This window comes from Homo sapiens, chromosome 12, assembly GCF_000001405.40.
Source record: "Homo sapiens chromosome 12, GRCh38.p14 Primary Assembly".
NCBI lineage: Eukaryota > Metazoa > Chordata > Mammalia > Primates > Hominidae > Homo > Homo sapiens.
Genome location: NC_000012.12, coordinates 15,161,707 through 15,188,003, shown reverse-complemented (window position 1 = coordinate 15,188,003; position 26,297 = coordinate 15,161,707). Strand labels below are relative to the sequence as shown.

General features: G+C 37.2%; 1 protein-coding gene and 1 long non-coding RNA gene across 6 annotated transcripts in view, besides 1 other annotated feature; one reads left to right on the top strand and one right to left on the bottom strand.

Annotated features, from left to right (window-relative positions):
- The window catches only part of RERG (RAS like estrogen regulated growth inhibitor), a 113,635-nt gene that overhangs the window by 33,414 nt on the left and 53,924 nt on the right, over positions 1 to 26,297 (top strand). The window lies entirely within an intron of this gene.
- Positions 7,958 to 8,129: a silencer, noted in NCBI's record as "fragment chr12:15332809-15332980 (GRCh37/hg19 assembly coordinates)". NCBI's record gives its function as "represses an EF-1alpha promoter that drives an FKBP-Casp9 reporter gene in an ReSE screen in K562 erythroleukemia cells {active_cell/tissue: K562}" and the evidence as "EXISTENCE:reporter gene assay evidence [ECO:0000049][PMID:32094911]".
- On the bottom strand, positions 9,717 to 25,429 carry LOC124902887 (uncharacterized). Of its 2 annotated transcripts, XR_007063223.1 has the most exons (3): positions 24,175 to 25,429; positions 19,244 to 19,376; positions 9,717 to 19,161 (listed from the first exon to the last, which is right to left on the bottom strand). It is a non-coding gene; the product is annotated as an uncharacterized LOC124902887 (long non-coding RNA). The 2 variants fall into 2 exon arrangements; XR_007063222.1 differs by having other exon boundaries at positions 9,717 to 19,376.

The following is a 26,297-nucleotide window of genomic DNA, read 5'->3' as shown; positions in this document are numbered from 1 at the left end:
TAATTTACTCCACTGGGAAAAAATTCTCCATGTCCTCCTATGTTCAGTATTTATTTCCTGATAATAAAAGGGAGAACAATATGTAGTCTCATAAAATTATAATAAAGTCTGTAATTCATCTAGTATAACTCAAGAAAAAGTTCTCAGCCAGGCACGGTGGTTCACACCTGTAATCCCAGCACTTTGGGAGGCCGAGGCGGGTGGATCACTTGAGGTCAGGAGTTCAAGACCAGCCTGGCCAACATGGCAAAACCCTGTCTCTACTTAAAGTACAAAAAATAGCTGGGTGTGGTGGCGGGTGCCTGTAATTCCAGCTACTCGGGAGGCCGAGGCAGGAGAATTGCTTGAATAAGGCAGGAAAATGTTGCAGTGAGCCAAGATTGCGCCGTTGCCCTACAGCCTGGGTGACAACAGCAAAACTCCATCTCAAAAAAAAAAAAGGTTCTCAGAGCATTTATTTTTGCTATTAAGAATAGCTAAATGACTAAGAAAATGTAGTAAATATGTTTGGCCTTAATTCATGTTTGTAGCTGACATTGTCAAACTTAAGACCCATCAGTGTTATGGCTGGTCACCAAATAAAGTGTGAACAAGTAAGCAATTGTGCTAAGACCCCAGACTTAAGGAGTTTGCTGGCTTCTAGTCAAATCACATTTAGTTTGTATTAATATAGTTAGACTTTGGATGTGCTAAGTACTGCATTTACTCTTGGGCACATTTTAAGCTTTGCTTTCCAACAAGAGTAGTGTGTTTTACTAGTATTCAGCATTGTGCCTTACTCCTACTTGTTGCCTTGAGAGCTGGTTCTACCCCTCTGCTCTTGAAAGGTCAATTTTCAGAGTCTATTTCCTCCCACCATCTCCTCAAAGATTATCTTGGTCGTAACTTCCAGTTTAGCCTGAAATAGTGGAAAAGTTTTATCCATCGTTAAGATAGTTGAATAGTGAGTGTGATGAACTAGATAGTCTAATTATCTCTGTAGGAATCTTAATTGAAATCAAATTATCCCCATGTTAATTTTTTTCTAATAAGAAGAAAAAGAGGAAAACAAGCCAAGCACCCAAGTTCTCCTCCATTTTCTGCTTAATAGTGAAGTTAACAAGAAGCTTTTCCTGAGTATTATTCATTGACTGGGATCATATTGGCTGTCCCCAGGGCCATCGACTCTTCCCAGCTGCTCCATTAATCTCTGGGAAATCCCCAGTGCTGCAACTGTCACTGTATAATTAAATGCTTTGTTATTTTCTGCATGGTCCTGTACTTTGGCAGCTTATTTTCATTAAATAGCAAGGCCTGTTCTTTGTCATTTATCCCATATGGCTGTGAAGAAGTGGCCTCCAAATCTTTCTTTGTTTGATTCCTTCTTCTAAATTAATGTTTTCTCCTCCTCCTTTTTCACTTCCTCCTTCTCTTCTTCCACCTTCTCTTCTTCCTCCTCCTCTTCTCTTCCTCTCCTCCTTGCTCTTCTTCTTTTCTTCCTGGTCTCTTTGACTCAAAGCCAGACTATCTAAATAATATATCAGATTGATATAAACTATTTTTTATCTTCCTTTTAACCTCTTCTGAGTAGAGAAAATTTAAAACATTAGAATTAAATGTACATTTTTAATTTTTTAAATTTTTCCTGCAAAGGTTAATCTTTGACTGGAGCACATGGCCCAGCAAACATCCAGACAAAATGAATTGCTATAAATGCTGAACAGGAAAAAAATAAATAATTTCACTTCCTGATGTCATCATGCTACTGATTTATATATAATATAAAATATAATGTATTTTTAAATATAATTTGTATAGCTATTTGGGTATCCTCTGAAATAATGTATATAAGAGAAAGCTTATCTATTCCTCTAAGATTTGGTAAAACATGACTAAAACATTTTTCTAAGTCTTGTTTGTTCAACTTTTTAATGGTCATTGGTCATTGAAAAACAGTTTTCCAGGCTTTCTCAGTTCAATTTTTGATGTTATATTTTTCTAAAATATTGTCCATTTTTATATCTTAATATATGTTGGCATAATTTGCTTCATAGTATTCTCAAATATTTTTATAAATATCTACTCTATCTGTAGTCATTCCTCAAATTTTTAATTTTTTTCTTCTGTTCTTTTTTCTAATCAGTCTTATTAGTGTTTTATCAAATTTATGTTTTGTATTTTTTTTTCTTTTCAACTTTTGTTTTTGTTTAGGGGATACACGTGCAGGTTTGTTATATGGGTAAATTGCATGTCACTGAGGTTTGGTGTACAAATGGTCTCGTCACCCAGGTAGTGAGCATAGTTTTTGACCCTCACCCTCACCCTCCTCTTACCTTTCCCCCTCTAGTAGACCCTGGTGTCTAGGGCCATAACCTGATAATATGGGAAGGAGTTTAAAATAATTATTTTCCCCCAGAGAGCCCAACTTCAGAATTTTCCCTTAAAATACCGTACTGTTGCTAAAAAATGACGCAATTACTTTCATACAGGTTGGAGTGTTTCTTGACACTAACTGAGGTGTCTTCACCTAGCGGGAGGTAGGGGCATTCCAGGAGATCCAGGGGAGTGAGGGATTCTAAGAGCAGGTAGCCACTCTGCTCTGAATCACATTGCAAGCTCCCTAAAGAGCTTCTCTGTGAGTTTCTGAGTCCCCTGTCCATTGATTCTCAGTTTTGGGGTGTACATTACAATTATGTGAGAGCTTTAAAAATCTTGATGTCTAGGCCACGGTTAAGAATATTGTGAAAGAGGATTGATATGAGATTGATATCACAGGAGCAAAGGAACTAAATATTTCATGTTCTATATTCTAGTTGTTGAAACATGGCAGAATTTGGGTCCGATTTATGTGTATTCTGACAATTGTGGCAATTAATCTAAGATTAAATATTTCAGGGGAATGAGCATTATTTAATATAAACATAGCCATCAGAAAAAATAATTGGGGGTCTGCACCTGTCCCTGAGATCTTGCCTGCATAGGAATGAAGTGAATACTGGGGGAATCATATTGAGGCTATTTATGCAGTGCTTAGTCTGCGTTTGACAAATTACTGGAGCTGCTTTTTTGTCACTTTCCATTGGAATGTTTTATTAGGTTAAGGGAAAATAAAATTACAGGAAAATAGAATGTCCTTCTCTATGCCTGCCCCCATTCTTTCTTGTGGTGTTTCAAGTTATGCAATCTATGAGAGACCTCCTAAGTGCCTCAGTTCAGATTCTGAAAGGACTCCTGAAGGCTGACCTTCTTAAAATGTTAGAAATACAGGGAAAATCACATAATTTCCCACAAGCTGACTTGGCAATATTCATGTTTCACAACTCGTCTCTGACTGATTTTATGACACACCTTCTGTCATTATGATTTGCTGTCATCGGACGCTATTAAATTCATCACTTCAAACACACTGTGTTCCCAGGTTTACAGCCTGTAATAATGATCCGGATCTCAGTGCATTCCTGATAAATAAGACCCATCCTGATCATGTAGTGTAAGTGGGGGGAAAAGTTTACTGGATTTAGAAATTTCAGACATTCTGGTTTATCACATATTCTCTAGAAAATTTTTCACTCATCATATTTCTTTTTTTTTCTTTCTGTAAGAAGCAAGCCAGTTTAGAAAAGCAGAATACATCCACTTGAGCATAAAAAAGTCCTTCTTCCCTGCAAGACTGCTCTCATATACAAAGGAATATTTTTCCCTCTTGTTTAAACTAGGTTCGTTTGGAATTACTACCTGTCACTACTGTATTAATATATTATTCACATTATGAGAAATATAAAATGTAGACATTTTGGAAGAATGAGATTAACATAATAGAAATAGAAGTTTGAATATTTTCTTCTTCTATATCTTTGGAGACTAGTGGTGTAGACGAGGATATGGACATAAAGACATTAAGTGATTGATTTCTTCCCTTATCTGATTTGCGTTCACCATCACATTCTGACTCATGAGTGTCACTGGGTTTGATGTGTCCTGGAGAGTGACAGGGATGTAGAATGCATTTCCATAAATTCGCATCACACGTTTTACTTTTAGAAAGATTATCTGGCTTCCTGCAAAACTTTGATAGGCAAACAGAGATATTAAGTGTTTGTTTATAGGCTCCTCATTCTACTCTTTATGGAAGATGAAGAGATACATAGTTCTGATGAGACTGGGGACTACTCCCAGCTGGGTTCGTGACAGGTTAACCCTGAAACAAGTAAGTTTAGGGTAAATCTGGATGACCCTTTGCTTTCCACACTATTCATGGGTCTGTGTAAAAGCTGTGCTTTTTCTGGATTTGGGACAAACTACAATAAAATTATTTTTCTAAAATAATATATGGGGATCATTTATTTAAAGAAAATATCCTAATAGCTTTCTAATATCTCAGAATGACAGATAGTAAAATAACATGTTGTAAGCATAAAACTTTACATAACTTGAGGGAAAATATTCGTCCTGGGTTAAAAATTGTATACCTGAACTAGAAACTTCGATTGAATACTGTATTTCATGTCTCCATTGATTTTCTTTCACTAAAAATTGAGATAAATGCCTTTTTTATCTAAAAAAGAGATACTTTATTAATATATATTTCAGGAAGATTACAAAGTTTTGAATTTATATACAAAATTATTTTAATTTTGCATTTACTTTTTAAAATTGAAACTAAATTGATTACTCAATTTCAATATTCTGGAGCTTTCTTGATTACAGATTATTATATGTTTGCCCACGTATCTCAGAGATTTGTGTTGAAATTTAAATGATATCATGCATGGGAAGATATATTCTAAACCATTAAAGACAATATAATAATGAGTTATTATTACATTTCAAAGATTTATCATTAATTTAGATCTTACATCCCCATATTTTCTACTCCAACTTTTTATAATATTTGCATAGAAATCTCCCATTAATACTTTCTTTTCTGTTTTTGTTTTTGTTTTTCGGCCAGGGTCTCTCTCTGTTGCCCAGGCTGGAGTGCAGTGGTGCAATCATGGCTCACTGCAGCCTCAACCTCCTGGGCTTAAAGGATCCTCTCACTTTTAGCCTTTCAGGAGCTGGGACCAATCACAGGCACACACCACCATGCCCAGCTAATGTTTTAATTTTTTTTGTAGAAACAAGGTCTCCCTATTCTGCCCATGCTGGTTTCAAACTCCTGGCCTCAAGCGATCCACCTGCCTCAGCCTCCCCAAGTGCTGGGATTATAGTCTTAAGCCACCACACAAGGCTTAATACCTTCTTAGTTAGATAATGTCTGTTAAGTATTTTGAGATCATCAGGGAGTAAAAATTATTATTGTTAAGTCAGAATATAAAGATGAACAGTTTATATCACTTTACTTTGATGTCATTCTAGAATCAACATGAATATGTAGAAAGCATATGTTTTGCAATTTAACAATTGCTATTGCATCACAATTGGCTCATCTTTTTTAGAATTATAGAAATGTTTAATTGTTTTAGATGAGAAAAAATAAGATCTGTACTTTATAATGTGATATTATATCTTTGAGTCAATATTCGATTATTTTTAACCTTTGAAACTCTTCCTAGCTAACAGTTGCCCCTTGGTGCCATTATGGCTAAGACTTGGGAGGAGGTATTTGGTGAGGATGGAGAGTTCTTTTAGCAAGAATCCAGGAAACCTTTTAAAAGTTAATTATAGGGCCGGGCACGGTGGCTAACACCAGTAATCCCAACACTTTGGGAGGCTGAGACAGGCGGATCACCTAAGGCCGGGAGTTTGAGACCAGCCTGACCAACATGGAGAAATCCCGTCTCTACTAAAAACACAATATTAGCCAGGCATGGTGGCACATGCCTGTAATCCCAGCTACTGAAGAGGCTGAGGCAGGGGAATTGCTTGATCCTAAGAGACAGAGGCTGCAGTGAGCCAAGATCGCGCCATTGCACTCCAGCCTGGGCAACAACAGCGAAACTCCATCTCAAAAAAAAAAAAAAAAAAGTTAAAAGTTAATTAGTTTAGTGTTACTTTCTGCTTCTGAGATAGGATTGTCTGGTGAACAGTAATTTAATTCTTCAAAGTACAAGAGAGAGAAAATGACTGAATTTTCAAATGGCTCCTGCCAGTGGTCAGTGGTTGTAATGACATTCTCCCAGAGTTTGCTCTATGAATAGCGAAGCCCTGCAGCCACACCTTTGCAATGCCCTGCAGGTATTTTCCACTTGGTTCTATGTGTGACCTCACTTCTCACTTTCTTTTCTCCATTCTTTACTCTCTCCTCATCAATATAAACGTAACCACCCCAGCAGGCTTTAGTCGTTTGCCTTCTTCCTCTGTAAATGGAGAAAAGATTCACCCAGACATAATAGTATCTCACATTTATTGAACTCCTATGATGTCCAGGGATTATTCTAAACAATTTACATATAGTAATTAATTCTCATAACAATCCTATGAAATAACTAACATTATCCCCACTTACAGACGGAGAAATGGAGGAGAGGGAGGTTAAGCATGATATCCAAGGTTATGTAACTAGTAAGTGGCAGGGCCAGGATTTGAAACCTAGCAGCCCAGGCTGCCAACACCCTACACTGTCATCTTACAATATCTCATTTCTCACATTTTAAGTCTGCAAAGCCCAGCCATTAGCAATCTTGATGAATGGGGTATTTGTGAACACAAACAAAGAAAGAAATTTCATGCCAGTTTCTGAATTGATATGGAATTTCATAAAAGTGCTCTAGCTTAATATTTCACATATTGTTTGGATTATTAAGATTTTTCAAGATGAAGAAGACTAGCTTGCTGGCTGTTGGGTTTCTGGGTTAAATCCACATGACTCAGTCATTATCAGTCTCTCCAAGGGCCTCCACTATCCAGGGCTGGTTGAGGACTTTCTTTGGACTACTGCAATGTTATGTGCTGTGCTTACTAGAGTCTCAGCGGCAGAAGGTGAACCAAAAACAGAGTTTTAAAGCTATTGATGTCTGTGTTTGGTTTCTTAGTGGCTAAATGACATTTCCCCAGCGAGGGGAGGGGGTGGGAAACAATTGGAAAAATGAATGTCTGGATGCAATAGAATTGCTGCTATTAATCATTTGTACATGCTAGAAGAATTGAGTCTGAGAGCGTTTGAAGTATCTTTACAACTCATGGGGCTGCCTAACTAGAAGCCACCTGGCTGTGTGGTCTTACTCCCCAGTTTGGAGCAAGAGTATTGGAAAAATTCTGCTTCCTACTCACAAAGCTGGGAGATACAAACCCATGGAGTCAGAAGTGAGGCTTTTAGCCTGTGAGTGGGGCTGACAGATCCACTTCAGAGATCTCTTTATTGGTAGTGCATGGGACAAATGAGCATTCAGGATCACGTAGTTTCTAGCAGATAGAAGGGCTCTACCTCGTCCCTATTTACTTCAGCCAGTGCACTTCCATCTCAAAGTCTGTGCCTCCAGTTAGAGGGTGCTGTGGATGATATATTAGATTTGTCTCATGGGTGTGGGGTTTTGCTTTTGATCATTCTTGGCTACAGTCTCCAGAGCTACTGCTTGCTGGAAGCTTGGCTGTGGGGCCTGTACAGAGAGATAGGGCTTGTTTTCATGTCAGAGCCATTGCCAGTAGCTCAAGCCTTTCAACTCAGGACCCCAGCTCTCCCCACCTCTCCAAGATGAGAAGGAAACTGTCTACTGGTTTGTGGACAGTTCTGGGAGACTGAATGACCCAAGACAGGGACCCCCAGGCACATAGTGGATGTGGCTTGTCAGCTCACTTCAGCCTGGAAATAGGGCTACATTTTTATTTTTGATTTTATAATTCTGATCTTTGTTCACTACATATGTCAGCCCTTTGCAGTAAAATTCCAAGGCCTTGCTTATGGAGTCATATTCTTCTCTGTTTAAAAAGACACTATTATATTGTATTTCTTGGTTTTCCTTGTTTAAAAAAAGTTAAATTTCTAACTAGGAATGCTCTTGTTCCATCTTTTTTTCTTTCATTTTCCTCCATCAGGTTTCTCCCAAATAAGTTCATATGTGTGAATTTTATATCTCTTCTTCGTCTTTCTTCTGAAAACTTCTAAACTTGTTGTAATGCTTTTCATTACAACTTTGGCCTGGCCCCTGACCCAGATGATGTGGGACCCAGCTTGTGATGTCCTGTAACATGTGCTTCATGGAAAGTCCAGCTGTGATCTTTTGAAGCTCCCATTGTGCAGTGTGCAAGCTGTGATAATGAATGACTATAACTAGAGCTGCCCACACTATATCCCTCAGTGTCTCCTTTTTTTTTCTCTGTTGATTGGTAGTTTTCTCCATGAAAAACAGTGAATCACTCTGTTGTGGCTTTCAGGGATGGCAATTGGAATACAAAAACCCGTAGGCATTTTCTCACATCTCTTAATGTCTTTATATTTTTAGATGTTACATGGCAGTAAGCAAATGTTTCCTAACAATTTTTGGGGGAAAGATATAACCTAAACATGGAAGATAATACAATCAGGGGCATAAGCCAGATACTGTAGAAAGTTTTGGTGGAAATTCACAAAAATTATACATTTGATTGCAGCACTGTGGGGTGGGAGATTGCCTTCCAGCAGGTACAGATCTTTTATCCTGGGTTTGAACAGTGATTGATGGCAACAGCCTTAATGCACTTCTGCACTTCAATTTAGAAAGAGACAAGCAGTGCAGAGCCCTGGGTTTCAGACTTTCTCCAAACTGCATTGGCTTTTGATATCCTTTGGTTTTGAACTGCTTTTGAGATTGCAGAAAGTGACTCTGATAACATAAGGAAAGAAAAATGCATCTGTCTTCAGAAGGGATTGTATGAATTAAAAGACAATAGAGAGATTTAGTTTCATCCTCAGATAGCTGAGAAGTAGCCACTCTTATCAGCACCTCTGCTACACACATATACACACATTGCTACTACCCATTTCTCTTCCCTACCCCCAAAACATACATTCTCTCTTGCGCTTCTCCTTCCCTTCCCTTCTTTCTTTAATTTCTATATTTCTGATGCCTGAAATCTTTAACTGGGGCATGGGGAAACAACCTTGTTCTAGGCAGAACAGCTGGAGAAAGTAATAGGTTAGGATTTCAATACAAAGTATTGACAATTAAGAAACTTTTACTTTAAATGCTCACTTCCTACAACAGATAAAAGAGTTGATGTAATTTTTAACACAGTTGTAACTCCAGAAAATAAAATAATTTTATATTGACAGGGGTAATCTCTTCAGGAAAACATTTTTTCACATCTCTAACGAGATGGTCTTTTATTGAATCTCCACATACATTGAGGAACTTGGAGGTTGTTCCTGTACAATGAATGTCTTAGAGGTTCGTAGGAGTCAAACTCTCCTTTCAGTGCAGTCATTTAATTTATGATTTGGTCCTGCCAACAGGTTTTATTATCCGTATTTTACAGATGAGGAAATTGAGACTCAGTATATTTTAGTATATGTAAGTAACTCGCATAAGTTCTCACAGTTAGTAAAGAGATAAACCTGAAACTCAAATCTAGGCCACTCTGAACCCAAAGAATCTTCTCTCACCAAATAAAATAAGTCTACAAAATTAAGGAAGAAAACCAAATGGATATTGTCTTGGACTTCTCCCTAGATAGTGTACTGATTATTTCTGATACCTTTTGCATAGTGTAGATCAAGCTCATTTATTAGTGCCAAGGTTCCATATTCATATTTTTAACAGAGGCTCAAAGACATATATAATAATGAATATTGTAGAAAAACTCAATGCTGCCATTTTAAGTGGGGGTGAAGAGGTCGCATGTTTTATTTAGAAGGTTGAAATGAATAAGAAGAATATAGTTAGCCATTTTGTAGAGAGCTTAGAGCTACTCTTGAAGTTATTCCATTATAGAATCAAGTTGTTAATATACATTTAAAATGAGAGGATTGCAAAGTACGCCTCCATTATAGCACATGGCTTTCTACTTTCTTATTCCCCTTTAGCAATAAAACTCCAATCTGTTCCATCAGTCATCCAGGGAAGGGTTTCAATCTATTTGAGAAAGAAGCTAAAAAGTAGAGATCTAGGGATTATAAAATTTAAATATGTAAATATATGCATCCAGCTCCCCATTTCTGTGTGCTCTGTGCCTCTGGTTAACACCACAAATAGAAAAGTATAATATCCTTGTTATAAATGGCAACAATTATCTAATAAGTCATACAGCTAAAAAAAAAAAAAAAAAAAACAAACAGAGGGAGCCAGAGAGATATCAATTTTAGTTTTTCATGTTTTCTCTTGCTTCTTTGTTCCTCACATTCTTCTTAGACTCTGTCAAAACAATGTTTTGGTCTTTGCTCTAGATTTTTAGGTGGAGCCTAAATGTTTGTAAGATAGAAGTTTGATAACAAGTGTTCCTTTAAACTGACAGTTTAGTTGTCTTCAGTTTTAAAATATACTTTGATTATTTCTGCTGCTTTTCATGCTCAAATGTGGAGCCACTGAATTTATCAGAAAGAGATTTTGAGGTATTCTATTAAGCAATGGTATGAATTTCAGATGAACATCATAAATAAGAAGGCTAAATTATAGTGGGAGAATTGCTCTGTATGAATTGTAAATTTTTTTTTTCTTTGAGGCAGAGTCTCATTCTTTCACCCAGGCTGGCGTGCAATGGTGTGATCTTGGCTCACTGCAACCTCCACCTCCTGGGTTCGAGTGATTTTCCTGCCTCACCCTCCCATGTAGCTGGGATTACAGGCATGTACCACCACATCCGGTGAATTTTTGTATTTTTAGTAGAGACAGGGTTTTGCCATGTTGGCCAGGCTGGTCTCGAACTCTTGACCTCAGGTGATCTGACCTCCTCAGCCTCCCAGAGTGCTAGGATTACAGGTGTGAGCCACAGCGTCCAGCCATGAATTGTACAAGTTTTAAGAAACTAGAACTTATCATGCCAAAATATGGTCTTAAATTTATTTGAATGTTGACAAAGGATTATGCATACTGCATATCACTTAGATATAGATGAACTGAATGAGGACATCTTCAATAAAATCAATTATTTTCATGTCTTATGATAAGATTTTAATAAGATGCCAGAAAGGTTTAATGGCCAAATAAGTGTATTTTCCCTTTTTGTATTCTTGATATTTAAAATATTTAAAAAAGTGTATGTGTGTGGCTAGTTAATAGGAAAGAATGAGCTCTTTTACCAAATGATCAGATATCAGAAAGATATTTGAAAATAACGCATTTCACAATGGAAGAAGAAATCTTTTGTTAATCTACTTTAAATAAATTTTATAAAATAGTTTTAAAGAATAACAAAATAAAATAACAAGTAAATTTGTGTGCTTTGGTATTTTGCTAGCTTTTTTGGGTATTTTCAGATCTCACTGGACCCAAGTCCCCAAAGTCCAAAAGAGAAAAACCAACCTGTTCAGCATTTATCTTGCAATTTCTATTATCTCGTGTCTTGCTTCAAGTTGATTTGAATCTGGGTAGGTTTATATACTCAGTCAAGTGTGTTTGCTAATAAACAACAGCAATAAAAACATAATACCCTTAACAGGAGAAATGTGAAAGCCCTCGTATGTCCTGCAAAGATCTGATTACATAAAAAATAATATGTCTGGCTCTGGGTACCACATGTTAAAAAAAGCATAACTAAATTAAGGGGAATAAAAAGGAGAGTTACTTGGGAGATTCAGCCCTCTATATAACACGAGGAAATATGTGATATGAAGAAGGTGCTGAAAGAAACTAGGAAAATGTAGGCTTCTGTCACACTCTGTAAATTAATATTGAATTTTGAACTACAATATGCAATTGCCTAAATAAAACAGTTGAAAATAAAGATGAAGAATCATTTATAATGCACAAAAATCTTCAATTAAACTTTGTTTTCCTTTAAAAATAATACTAGTAGGAAACTTCTGGAATGGCAGTATGAGGACCTCTACCTCTATAATTTGCCCTGCCATAAAAGCCATGAAAACACTGGCACACTAAGCCATGAAAACACTAATAACGTTTTAGACTTCTAGAAATTAACAAAGTCTTGTAACAATCTGAAAACTGCTTATTCAGGAAAAACTGCTGAACCTCATTAAGAACTGCAGAGTTTGTGGTACTTTATCTCCTGTTATCACTCTTTCCCCATCTCTGCAGTAGCCTGGAAAATCAGCAGCCTCACAATCATAGTAGCTATGAAAAACAGCAGCCATGCAGCCACTGGCGGGGTAGATGGGGTTTGTAACTCCACAGAATGTTCTATCTGCAGAGCACTGTCACTGTTTGACCTATCTCACAGCCTCTGGAAAAGCCCACTCAAAAGGAGCAGTTGTTATTTGATCTGATTCACAACATATGTTAAAGGAAAAGCCCTATCCCCAGGGAATTTTTCAAAAACAATTAGTGGTAATTACTTAACATGAGAGATAAACAAGAGCCTGGCCAGAAACTTAAAACGTAGATAAGGGAAATGAGATGTCCCTGGGGCTTTTCAAGAGCTCTAAGATATTCCTGGGGATCTAGATGGCTGCACTTACATGCAAGGTTGTGTGTATGCCCAGTAAAGACCTGAGACGGCCCCAGTCTCTAGTCTTTGGCTGATCTTGAAGCCCTGTGCAAGCAGGAAATGAAGTCTAGGGTAGAGTTTGTAAACTGGCTGCCTGAACATGGAAAGCATGCCCCAACACACACACACACACACACACACACACACACACACACACACACACACACACACAGAGCCTGAGAGTAAAGGTTGAAAGATTTAATTTTTGGAGGCATTTAAGAAATCTCTGACCAAGCATTAGCTGATTAACAACGTAACTGAACAGAACCGTGGTTACACACTATGAAGAATATAGACTTTACAGGATTAGCTTAGGAAAGTTACAAAACAAAAAAAAAAACAACAAATACAACAAAATGATAGCAACCTTTCTCACACACACCCACACACCTTGGTTGGGAGGTGTTGATCTGATTTCCAGAGTTGCCACATTATATTATTTAAAATGTCCAATTTTCAACAAGAAATTATGAGACACATAAAAAAGCAAGAAAGAATTATCCATACACAGGAAAATAGGAGTCAATGGAAACTGGCCCTGAGGGATCCCAAATCTTAGAGTTATTAGACAAAGATTTTAAATCAGCTTTTATGAAGTGTTTAAAGAACTAATAGAAAACATGAAAATAAATCAAGGAAAGTATGACAACAATATCTCACCAAATAGAGAATATCAATAAAGAGATAAAATTATAAAAAACAAAATAGAAATTCTGGTATTGAAAAGTATTAAGCTAAAATGAAAAATGCACCAGAGAGGCCCAAGAGCAGATTTTAGCTGACAGAAGAAAAAAAATGGTGAACTTTAATGTAGATCAATTGATATTATCCATTGTGAGAAACAGAAAGGAAAAATAAACAGAGATTCAAAGATCTGTGGGACCATCAAGTATACAAATGTATATGTGTAATTGGAATGTGAGAATAGAGGAAAGAAAGAAGCAGAATGATTACTTGAAAAAATTATGGCCCAAAACTGCCTAAGTTTGATTTTAAATATATATATATACACACACACACACACACACACTCAACAAACTCCAAGTAGAATAAATTCAAGGAGATCCATACCTATACATTATTATAGTCAAATTTTCAACAGACAAAGGCAGAGAGAGAATCTTAAAAGCAACAAGGGAAAAATGATCTATCATGTGTAAAGAATCTTCATTAAGATTAATAATTAGCTTCTCATCAGAAACTACATAGGCCAGAAGGCAGTGGATAACATATCTATTTTTTTTCCTCAAATTACTTTTTACCGGGGCTGATGTATCTAAAGTGCTGAAAGAAAAAGACTGTAATAGAAGAATTTCACATCCAGCAAAACTACATGTCAAAAATGAAGGAAAAATTAAACACTACCAGACAAACAGAAACTGAGAGAATTTGTCTCTATCAAGACTGCCTTACAAAACGTATTAAAAGGAATCCTTCATACAGAATTGAAAGGATGAAAGGACAATAGGGAGTGCTTGACTCCACGGGAATAAATAAAGAGCATTAGTAAAGGTAACTGCATAAGTAAATATAAAAGGCAGAATAAAAGTATTTTTAAATAAAAGGTATCCATATTAGAAAGGAAAAAGTAAAACAACTATTTGCAGACAACATCATCATGTATATAGAAAATATTCAGGAATTCAATTAAAAATTATAAATGAGTTTATCAGGGTTTCAAGATGCAAGATATTTACAAAACTCTATTATATTTCTATATACTAACAATGCAAAATTAAAAATGAAATTAAGAAAACAATTTTATTAACAATAGAATAAAAAGAATAAAATACTTAAGTATAAATTTAACAAGTGTCATACTTGTACAATGAAAAGTATAAAATATTACTGAAAGAAATTTTAAAGGACTGAAATAAGGGAAAAGCCCATATTTATTTATGAATTGGAGGAATTAATATTGTTAAGATGACAAGATGGGAGTATTCTCCAAACTGATCTACAGATTCATTGCAATCCCTATAAAAATTTTTTTATCTGGAATTTTTGCTGAAATTCACAAGCCGATCTTAAAATTTATACGGAAATGCAATAGACCCAGAATAGGTAAACAATCTTGAAAAAGAGGAACAAACTTGGACACTCATATTTCCTGATTTCAAAACTCATTATAAAAGCTACATTAATCAAAACAGTGTGGTACTGGCACAAGGATAGGTATATAGATCAACAGAATAGAATTGACAGCCCAGAAATAAACCCATATATTTATGAAGAATTGATCCTTGGCAGAGGTACCAACACAGTTTTGTAGAGAAAGAATAGTACTTCCAACAAATGGTTCTGGGATAACTGAATGCAAAAGAATGAAGTTGGACCTGTACCTCACACTATCTGCAAAATTTAACTCAAAATGGATTATAGACCTAAAAATAAGAGCTACAATGATAAATTTTTAGAATAAAACCTAAGAGTGTTTGTGACTTTGGGTTAGGCAGTGATTTTTATAGATATAACACAAAAAGCATAAGTGACAAAAGAAAAAATTGATAAATTGAACTTTATGAAAACTGGAAACTTTTTATGCATTAAAGGACATTATCAAAGGAAGTAAAAGAAAAACTCACTGAATGGAAGAAAACACTTTCAAATCAAATATATGAGAAGGGATTTGTAGCCAGAATTTATAAAGAACCCTCATACTCATAATGAAAAGATGAATAACCAAATTAAAAATGGACAAGGGATTTGAATAGATATTTATCCACAGAAGATATACAATGAATAATAAGCACATAAAAAGATGTTCACATTGATTAGCCATTAGGGAAATGCAAATCAAAACCACAATGTGATCCACAATGTGATACCACCTGCACCCACTAGGATAGCTTTAATTAAAAATAGTAACAAACATTGGCAAGGATGTGGTAAACTGCGACTCTCAAATAATGTTGATAGGAATGTAAAATAGTGTAGCTATTTTGGAAAACCGTTTGGCAGCTCCTAAAAATGTAAAACATGGAGTTACCAGATGACCAAGCAATTCTGCTTCTAGATACATATCCAATAGAAAGAAAAAATATGCCTACATAAAATCTTGTGCATGGAAGTTCCTAGGAGAATTATTCATAATAGCCCAAAATAAAAACAACCCAAATGTCCATAAATGAATGTATGGATTAAAAAATAGCATATTCATATAATGGAATATTATTCAGTATAAAAAGAAATACTTACTCAAACATGCTATAACATGGATGAATCTTGAAAACATTATGCTAAGTGAAACAAACTAGTCATAAAAGACCACATATTGTATGATACCATTTTAATGAAATGTCCAGCATAAGAAAATCTATAGACACAGAAAGATTAAGTTACCTAGGGCTGGGGATGGATGGGCGTGGAGTGAGAATTGACTGCTAATGCATATGGGGTTTCTTTTTGTTGATGAAAATATTCTAAAATTAGACTGTGTTGATGGTTGTACAACTCTGCAAATTTACTAAAACCATTGAATTGTACACTTAAATGGCTGAGTTTTGTGATATGTTAATTATCTCTTTAATAAAGCTATTTTTAAAAAGCTGTATGTAGCTTTAAAGAATAAGTAAAAATGTTAGGTCTTAACACATGTTTAAATTATTTCAAAAAAGTCGGAGAACTACACATAAGCTTATTAACTATTAGTATGATTCTCGTTATTAATATATTTAACCAATAACCTCTATTATTTTAGGTAGCATGTAGTCAGAGTATGTCAATGTTCTTTTCCTTGGAAATACATCACTTATGAAATATTCTTTTGCATGAGCTCTGGGAAATGGAATGTTTTAATTTTATTGAAATTTCAAGACCTTTTCAGGTTAACTTAAAACCCACTTAAAAATAATTCATTAACAACATGAAAAATAAGAAGAGAAAATTGTTTTTTAGGTATGTCTCTCAGATATTTACTTTGACTCATGACTTCTAATCACAGTCATACTAAGCATGCTTTGATTGTGCTCCCGCCCCACTCAGAAACCTCTGGAGGCTCCTCTCCTCCCACCTCCTCAGCTGGCATTCAGGATATCCTACACTCTATCTCCAATCCACAGTCCAGCCTTATCTGCTGTTCTTTCATGAACCTTGTAAATCATCCAAATTATTTGGTCCCTGAACTCACCTTGTGTTAATTAAATCATTTATTCAATTAGTCATTCAGTTAAAATATTTGTTCAAAGTCTACTAATCGTACTGTAAATTCAAGGTTCTGATATGTGGGGAAAAATCAGAAGACCACAAGGCGGAGTAAAAATTCACGCTATTAATCAACTCATACTTGGCAGTAGGAAGGTCCAACACCAGCTCTGACCGCCAGCTTTGATTATAGCCTCCTAAGTGGGTGAATGCACACATCCCTCAGCACATGGGTGCATCCTGAAGGAAGACAGTGGCATCGCATTGCAGTGATCCTTCTAAGCCAGACAGAGACCTGAAAATTTTCATTCATGTTACTACAGTGATAAACACAATAAATGCACCAATTAAATTCTCCCTATTGGTAAATCAAAGAGAACAATAACCTCTGTAGATACCTGGGATTTTCTAAAGCTCCCTTGAATTGTCTGCAGAGTTTTATTTATGCACACAGTCATGTAGTAGAAGAGGAAGTATTAGTAGTTGGTTTTATATTAACTGTGATTTTTATTTCCTCTGGTTTTTAGGAAAGTGATTTAGACTTTTAAAAGTGGTTGTTTAGGGTGATTTTACCTTTTGGGAACTTAAGTTGGAAGGAGATACAGTATATGCAAGAGCTGTGGCATCTTCTGTGAAAACTGGAAATGCCATCTCTGCTCAGTGTGCCTTCACACTGCAGAACTCTGCAGGCTTCCTCGAGCTCGGCTGCCCTTTGCATGTTCTATAAAATATGTTCATTCAGAACCAAAGTCTGGATCCAAAAGGTAAACAGAGTCTATCCTCCAGACCAACATATTATACTCAGAGATTGGAAGCCACTGGCCTCTGCATGTTTGTAAAATGCAATTGCTAGCAGTAATCCTGAAGATCACAACTCCAGAAAATGTGCTTTTAAAAAAATAATTTTTCTTTTTTTTAAAAAAGCACTCTATTTTTAGGACAGTTTTAGGTTCAGGGCTAAACTGGGCAGAAAGTACAGAGTTCCTATATGCCCTCTGTCCTCCCACTCCCTTCCCCCTACACACACCCAGACTACCCCACCATCCGCCTCCTGTGCCAGAGTGGTAAATATCTTACAATTATTTATGAACCTACAGTGCACATCATTATCACCCAAGTCCATAGTTAACATTTGGGTTCGCTCTTCTAATATTTATTTTAAAATAACTCAAAGCATTTATTTTATTTAAATAAAATTGCACTTTTATTTTAAAATAGTCTTAAGTTTTATTCACTTTGGAGTTGAATTCATTTATGAGTGCCATTTCTATATCTGTATTTCTCACTTACTTTGAATCTGGCGGGTTTTATAACAATTAGAAATACAAAATACCTTGTAAGCTGGGTCTCATCATCTGGTCTTCCCAAACTCATGCATTGTTGATCCCTGATGTTACACACACACACACACACACACACACACACACACACACACACACACATTTTTAGCAGATGACGTGTGTCCTTCTTGTTTCATTGCTTGTGTGGTGTTTGGCTTCTGTTAATGTGTCCCCACATTGTGGTCTCCCTAAAGAGTGTGGTTTAATCATTAAGAGTCAAAGTTTAGTACTGGCCAAGAATTGGTATCACATGAATGCCTGGCTAGAAACTCATAAAAATAAATTTCTATACATATCTGAGAGGGAATCCTTTGTATTAGGGTTCTCTAGGGAAACAGAACCAATAAGATATATACATTCATGTAAATAGATTTATTATAAGGAACTGGCTCACATGATGGCAGAGGCTGTGTGGTTCCACAGATCTGCTGATCTGATTTTGCAGACCTGCTGTCTGCAAGCTGGAGGCCCAGGAAAGGTCCACAGATGGTGTAGATTCCAGTCTGTGTCTGAGGCCTGAGAACCAGAAGTGCCAAGAGGAGGAGGAGATCAATGTTCAGCTCAAGCAATCAGGCAGAGGGGACAAATTCTCCCTTCCTTCTTCTTGGCTTCTGGTCCGGGCCTCAAAGGATTGGATGATACCCAACTGCATTGGTCAGGGCAATCTTGACTCAGTCTATCAATTCAAATGCTAATCTCTCTGGAAACAGCCTCACAGACACACCCAAAATAATGTTTAGCTAAACATCTGGGCATCCTGTGATCCAGTTAAGTTAATGCATAAAATTAACCATCACACCCCTGTATAGTCAGAAGGAACACTACAGATCTGTTTTTATAGGTTGGCTCTTATAGAACTTACTATTTAAACTTCACCTCCTCGATCTTGTAGGTTTAAGTTTGCACTTATCATTCATTTCACTGGCAAACCAATGAGAACGTGTTTTATTTTCTTACCTTGGGATTCCCTTGATTTACAACCTTTCATCTCCAGAGTCATTAAAACAGAAAAACAAAACAAAACAACAACAACAAAAAAAAACCTTTAGTGTATCAGCAGACCATACCCTTGAGTTGCCTATGTACTTATTTCTTTAAATCTGGTTTTCCAGAAGAAAAGGTTCTGCTCCTCACTATGTACTTGAGAAGACAATAAGAATCTGCATCTTTGTTTCCTCATCTGCGAATTGAGAGAAATAATATTAACTGCACAGGGTTATAAAGGTTAAGAAACATCATGTGCTTGAAAATGATTTTATTACCTTTACAGTGGCAGAGAAATGTTAGGATTATCATGGCGAGTTGATATGGGGCTGTCATCATTTCTCATCAGTCTTCAAGTAGGAACCAGCAGCACACATTTGAGAAACTGCTTGCTGGGAGCAGGAATGAAACCTGCGGACACAGTCCAGGGCAAACTAACAATCCATCACAGAGAATACACTGTACCCACAACATGACACCAGGAAGAAGGAGATCTTGACTCTTTTAAGACTTATGAATTTCCAAAGTGCTCTCACTTGTGTTATCTCATTTTGATTTTGATCATCAAAACAACCCTCTGAAGTAGTCCAGGCACAGATTATTGGCCCCATTTCAAAACTGAAAAACCTCTGGGGAGTCAAAGGGTTTCCTCAAGGTCCTGGAACCAGTAAACGTTTGAGCTGGAATGGAAATTGAGTCTTTAGGCTCAGTGCAGAACTCTCTCGCTGTTGTGTTGCTCTCCTGCTAATAAGGCAGACCGCAACGAAGAAGCTAAATGATGCTTATATTTCACCTCTTATTTGTGGTGAGTGATTAAAGCTGCAGGGGACCACATCCAAATCATTAATACTGAACTTGAAAACAGCACATAAATCTCAAGAAATGCAATCTTCTTTGGAAAGTAGGGAATTGCACACATTTTTATGATGATGGAATGTACTATTAAAGCAGAGCCTTGGACATTTGAGTGTCCCAACAAAAAGGTGAAAAGCCTAATTGGTTAATTAGATGAGAGGCAATCATAAGCCAGACTTGTAGGCATAATGAAAGGAAAAACTGAGGTGTACAGTTGACATTACCTTCTCTCAGGGCCATAGTTCCCAATTGTTATTCAACTTTCAAAGGGCAATTTGTAACTGTGTCACCAACCTGAAAGCCTTTTGCCTCAATTTGAGCAAAAAACCAATTAAAACTGTTCACTTTTAATAGCCAGAGATGGGAAAAATGACTCATCCAAAAAAGTATGATTTTTTTGTCTTTATTAGAAATGTTAAACAGGGAAGTCTATGCAAAAAAAGGAATGCTTTATTTGGATGTAATTTATATAACTAGATTATCTATTTTTAAAGTTAACACCCACTACTACTATCTTTTTTAAAGTATCTCCATTCCAGCTTCCATCAAAAACAGCTCACAAAACTGCCTGTCTTTTTGGCATATTTAAAGGGTCAATTTAGATACCAGAATATATGATGGTTTCTCCCAAACATTGCTTCTCAACACATGGTCCTAAGAGCAGCAGCACCAGCACCGTCTTAGAAATGCAGTTACCCATGCCCCACCCTAGACCGACTGAATCAGAAACCCCGGGGCCGGGGTCCAGCAATCTGGGTGTTAACAAGCCCCTCCCCAGGTGATTCTGCTGATGCTGAACTTTGAGAACCACTTCTCCAGAAGAGGCAGGCATTGACTTAGAGCTGGGGTGGAGTCTTTCTGATGCAGAACCTAAATCCCCTTTAAATTCACTACAGAACAAAGAGGGAGGGCCAGTCTAGAGCCTGGACTCCTCTCAGGGCAACCCAGCAGATAGTCACATTCAACCCAGGCCAAGTCTAGTGTCTGGGACATTCTGGTTTGCTCAGGCCTCCAGGCAGGCTTAATTGGGAAGGCCAAGTCAGATTAACCCTCAGTAATTTTTATACATGCCCTATACTTGGTAAGAAAATGTACCCTCTGCACCAAGGCTTGCCTATGCATTGTCGGCTTAATAAGACCTGCCTTGCTTGTAAGACATTATATTTTCATTGATGTTTTGACCTTAGAACATGAGAAAGCACATGAACATATAGCAAAACTGAATCTTAGGGTCAGGAAAGTTCTTCCAGCATGGCACATGTATACATATGTAACTAACCTGCACAATGTGCACATGTACCCTAAAACTTAAAGTATAATAAAAAAAAAACAAAAAACAATAATGTGTCAGACATGATACAAGATGATTTAAATAAAAGACCTCTTTAAATATCGAAAAAAAAAAAAGTGATCTAGTCCATCCGTTTGTCAGGCAGTATAGTGGTTGACACAACATTCTGAATAACAACAACAATGAAAGCAACAACAATAAATACTTTCAAAGCACCATATCTTACCATAAAGTCATTTCATATATGCTGATGTGAATTTCACATAATGTTTGCATTAGGGAAGGTAAGTAGCTGCAGTGGCACCACCCCTACCACCACCACCACCACCAACACCACCACCAACACCACTACCACCACCACCACCACCATCACCACCATCACCACCATCCCCATCATCATCATCATCATCATCATCATCAATTATCATGAGACTGAAGCTCAGAGTGCCTTGGTGACTTGTCCAGAGTCCCAAAATTAAAAAGGAGACACTGAAATTCTTATTTTCCCATTCTTTTTGCATAACACCTACATAGGATTAAGGAATTTGATTCAATTGGATGAATTGTGTGAATATTATGTTCTAGTTCTAAAGAATCTTGCAAGCCCATGAGGTTGGCTATTTATTTTCAATACCTTTCAATCTAGAAGAAACCCTGGGCTTACTCTCTAGGCCTCCTTGCTACTCTGCCCTTGGCAGCCACATCCTGGCCAAGGCAGACAGCAGGGCTATCTCATGCTTTTAAGAAGTTGATAACAATAAAAATATCTTTGGAATTTCTTCTCAAATTAGAAATGAGGGTTCTCATGGAGTTAAGTCTTTTACCCTGTGCATATGGAAATGAGGGTTTTGAATTATCTCTAGTAGTGATAATGATTATACATAACCTGCACAACCTCTCCCAGTCTCTTATACTAGTGACCTAGGTGTACCTAGGAAATGGTCAGGGGAGCTTACAGTCATGGAGCCAATTGTGATCGAAGCACATCCATGCTCAGCCCATCTTCCATCTCTAAAAGGTTGACAGGGAGAGTTGGAGAGGATAAGATCCTAGGATTGGCAGGTTTCAAAATTAAGAGTGAGGCCGTTAGTTGATCTCAGAAAGTATTTAACTTTCAGGGAATTTAAAAATGTGCCATAATTGGAGTGTTATAGTTATTAATATGATTGTTTAACCTCTTTGGCTCTCCCTGGTACTTACTCCAGGGCATCATAACCCCATTTTAAAACTTCATTCTGCTAACCTACCAGGCTCATCTGGGGAGAGTTGTTAGTTAAGGCTACTCCAGTCCCTACATGCTGTAAATGAAGGTAAATTTCTCATGGTGAGTCTTACCACCACCCATACCACCTAAACAACTTGCCCAAGGGCAGGCAGTACATGAAATGAAGGAGCTGAGAATCCCACATCACCCATTTGTGAGTTCCCTTAGGGAAGCATAAAGTGTATATTTTCTGGAAGTACAATTTATTATGTTGTTTGAAAATGTTACTCTGAGCAACAGATGTTATTTTTGGAGCTTGAGCAACTTTATTTTAGTTAAAAAAAAAAGTCTTGGCAGAAGTTAAAAGATTGTTGGCTAGAAGAAGTGTTTGGTACATGAGTTCCAATCTAGTTTCCTTAGTTGTACGGAGACAGTTTACATGCAGAGGCAGAAATCCGTAATTTGCTGTCTTTGAGTGGTCGCCGCTCAAAGACATGCTGCTATGACTAATGCAGCCAGGGCTCAGCAGGAGTCCTTCCCTTAACCTTCAGCTTTAAAGTGCCACACGGACAAGGCAAATGACTGAGAATCTGATCGTGTCCTCAGAATCAATTTGGGTTTTGGTACATTTTGTTCCTACTCTTCATTTAGCTCTGAGTCTGCTCTGGAGGAGCTGTTTGAGACCTCAAAGAGAGAGCACAACCTTTAGTGCCAAGAGGATTATTGACAATTTGCTCTTACATTAAAATTTCCAGAGCGGCACCCTGGCTTAATGAAGAGAGTGCTCCACTGGAAAACTTCAATAATACCCTTTGGATTCTCTCCAGGTGCAAAAGGTCAATTTTCCAAAGGAAATTTTGTTTTAACTCTATCTTATTCTCATACACCTTTGACTATTTTGTGCTAGTTAACACCTTTTGTGGGTGGCAAATTTCTGAGGGAGAGATAAAGAAGGAAAATTCAATGTGACTGCTTAGTGGACCATGGGTAATCCAAGCCCAGCAAAGTAAACAGTGGTTCTGTTGGCCCCCTAAGACAAAGTCTATACAGCTCAGGGTATGGCAACTAATAGAAAATTCTGCTGTTGACTATATCAAGGCGGTCCAATGGGTGGGTGGAAACACAGAGCCTGGAGAAACTTGCTAGTGGTGATACAGGACGTCTAATAGGTGGCTGCACTGAAGCCCCAGATGATCAATCCTTTTCGGATCAATATTCTAGCCCAAAGTTGGGGGTGCAAGCCTTGTTCATGTCCCTTGGAAGTGGGAATTAATGAGCTTCACAGGCTGTCAAAGTCTCAAAAGAAGGGAGTAGGTTCAGAGAAGGCTCATGTGGTAAGCTGGACATTAGCTTTATGGATGTCCCAAATACTTAGATTGTTTAGGAGAAGTCTAAAGTTTGGTGAATAGGCAGTGAGTTTTGAGCTTACTTCAGAAGCTCTAGAAAGGAGGATGGATGAATCTAGGCCCCACAAATGGTAATGGAGCCCCTATGTAAAACTTGCTCCAGTCAGGACTGGCTCAGAGATCAGTGAGTCTTCTGGAGTCAGACCTTATTAACTGTGCCTTGTGCTAGTCAATTAACTGAGTAACCTCATCCATTCTTGCTCTTTCCCTGCTTTGCTCTGTTTTAAATAGAACTGCATTTCCTTGTCTCTCTTCTCCTCTTCATTTCTGGCACATTTGGCCAATGTGAGGTAGTAGCAGAAGACTGCAATATGGAAAGGAAAAACCACAATGTTTCTCTCTCTCTCCTCTCTCCACTCTCCTCTCTCTCTCCGCCCTACCCCTTCCTGTAGTATTTCCTGTGATGTTTCCATTCCTGTGGAGTAATTGGGTCCCATCTAGAGTTCTAATTACCTTAAGAAAGCTCCTCCTTCAATGATCGTCTTTCCCACTAGGCAGTCTTCACTGACTCCAGCTTCTCCTGGACAGCTCCAGATGCTGGGCTCTGGTTACCCATTTCCTCCTGTTGTTTCATCACCTCTAGTTGTGGTTACAGTTTTCTCCTGTTGCCTTCCATCTCCTAATGGCTTCTCAGGTTTTTCATCATTTTGGATAATAATTTCCCTTGATTAAATGCATCGGTTTGAAAGACGTAGAGTGGTTTCTGTTTTCCTGGCTAGACCCTATGATACACTCTCACTGAGCAGATCTGGATTCGCAGCAGAGACCATCTGACTATTAAATTACTTTCTTTCCTCTATTCCACATGTATGTCTTATCCGCTACTGGAAACACTTCCCCTATGTAACCCAATTCTTCACATTCATGTCGAATCTTAGTTCTTTTGGGTCATTGTTCCTTTGCTTTCAAATCTGTATATTCATTGGAAAATTAACAAGGGCAACGTTTGAAATATGATCCAGGAAAAATGACTCTGAGTCACAAAATGATGTTATCAATTTTAATCTTCATCTCTTCTTCTTCCCTGCTCCCTGAGTCATCCAATTTTTCTAGCATATTATTTATTTCTCTTTTTTCAATATCAGGCCACCTGGCAGGGATAACGTCTGCTTGGCTTTTGTGTAGTGCTTCTGGCATTGTTGACTCACTGCAAAAGAAAGTGCTATAGTCTCCACCTACATTTTGTGATGTTTCAACAAAAGGTTGAAACTAGGGATCCTCGTTAACACAACCGGGGGCTCAAGGGCAAATAATACTCATATTGCTTCAGCAAAGTTCATCAAAATTCTTAGCAAAAATCTAGGCTTAACCTGAACATCTCCATAAAACCTATTGCTAATAGGAAGAATGGAAACTCTTCATAATATAAACGTATGTTATAGGACTCTAAGGTCTAGAGCAATATTGTAAGGAGGTCTAGGTTCCATTTTTCACAGTGGCAGGAATTAGCTGTGTGATGATAGGCAAGTTTACCTTTCTGAGATAATTTTCACATTTGTGAAATAAGGGAATTGGACTAGGTCATCTTTAAGAGCCCAGAAAAATAAAGCTGAAACCACACCGTAAATTTATTTGGTTGTGTTTTTAAAAAATTCTTCATGTTATATTTTCCTTCCTTGAGAACAAAAGAGCTCTTCATGTATGTAGAAGAAAGGCTTCTCTGCTGCCTTTTCTCACTTCAATACTCCCACCCATTGTAGTACCATTTATGTTTTGACCAATGGATGTATAATGCTTATGTATAATGGGACATGTATGATAATTAGGGATCTTAATTATTCCTTCATCATAAAAACAATGCTATAGGACCTGTCTCTAAGAATGAGAGAAAACTCTAATGGGGTTCTTAATTATGGATTTTAAGCCTGTATAGTTAATATTTATATGCCCAAGCTCTCCCCAGTCCTCTTAGCTGGAGGATTTATCTGATACATTGGAATATTTGAACTCCTGATTTCTTTTTTTATTCTGATTGATGTAAGACATACTTTCTCCTGGAGGCAGTCCTTGGCCAGGGCTGTGCCTGGACCTTGTTTCACTCAGTGCATAACCAGAGTAGTCTGCCATTTCAGCAATGAGATTTAGGTCCTTCGGCCCTCAAACATTCCTCTTCCCATTGCTTTGCTCTTGTTCTGTGTAAGTATTCTGAAATTCATAAGAGATTCATTTTGATTAAGGCAGTAGTCTCATTTTTCAAGTCTTTCTTTAGACAGCACTTCCTCAGGGAAAATTTCCGTTCCTACCACTAGTCTAAGTTACAATGTATTTCTACAATGCTCTCGAATCTCCTTACCAGGTAAGGATACTGGGTTTAAATTTTGCCTCCACCTCTTAGTAACTTTATGAAAATTATTTAAGCTTCATAAGACTTAATTTTTAAACCTGTGAAATGGGAATAATAACAGAATATACTTTGTATGTTTTGGGAAGAGGATTTTTAATGCAAAATACTTAGAACAGTGCTTGGCACATGGTAAATGGTCAACAATATGTTTTATTATTATTATTATTATTGTTATTGGTAGTATTGATTCCTTAGTTATATATCTTTACCACCAGATAGTAAGCTGCATGAA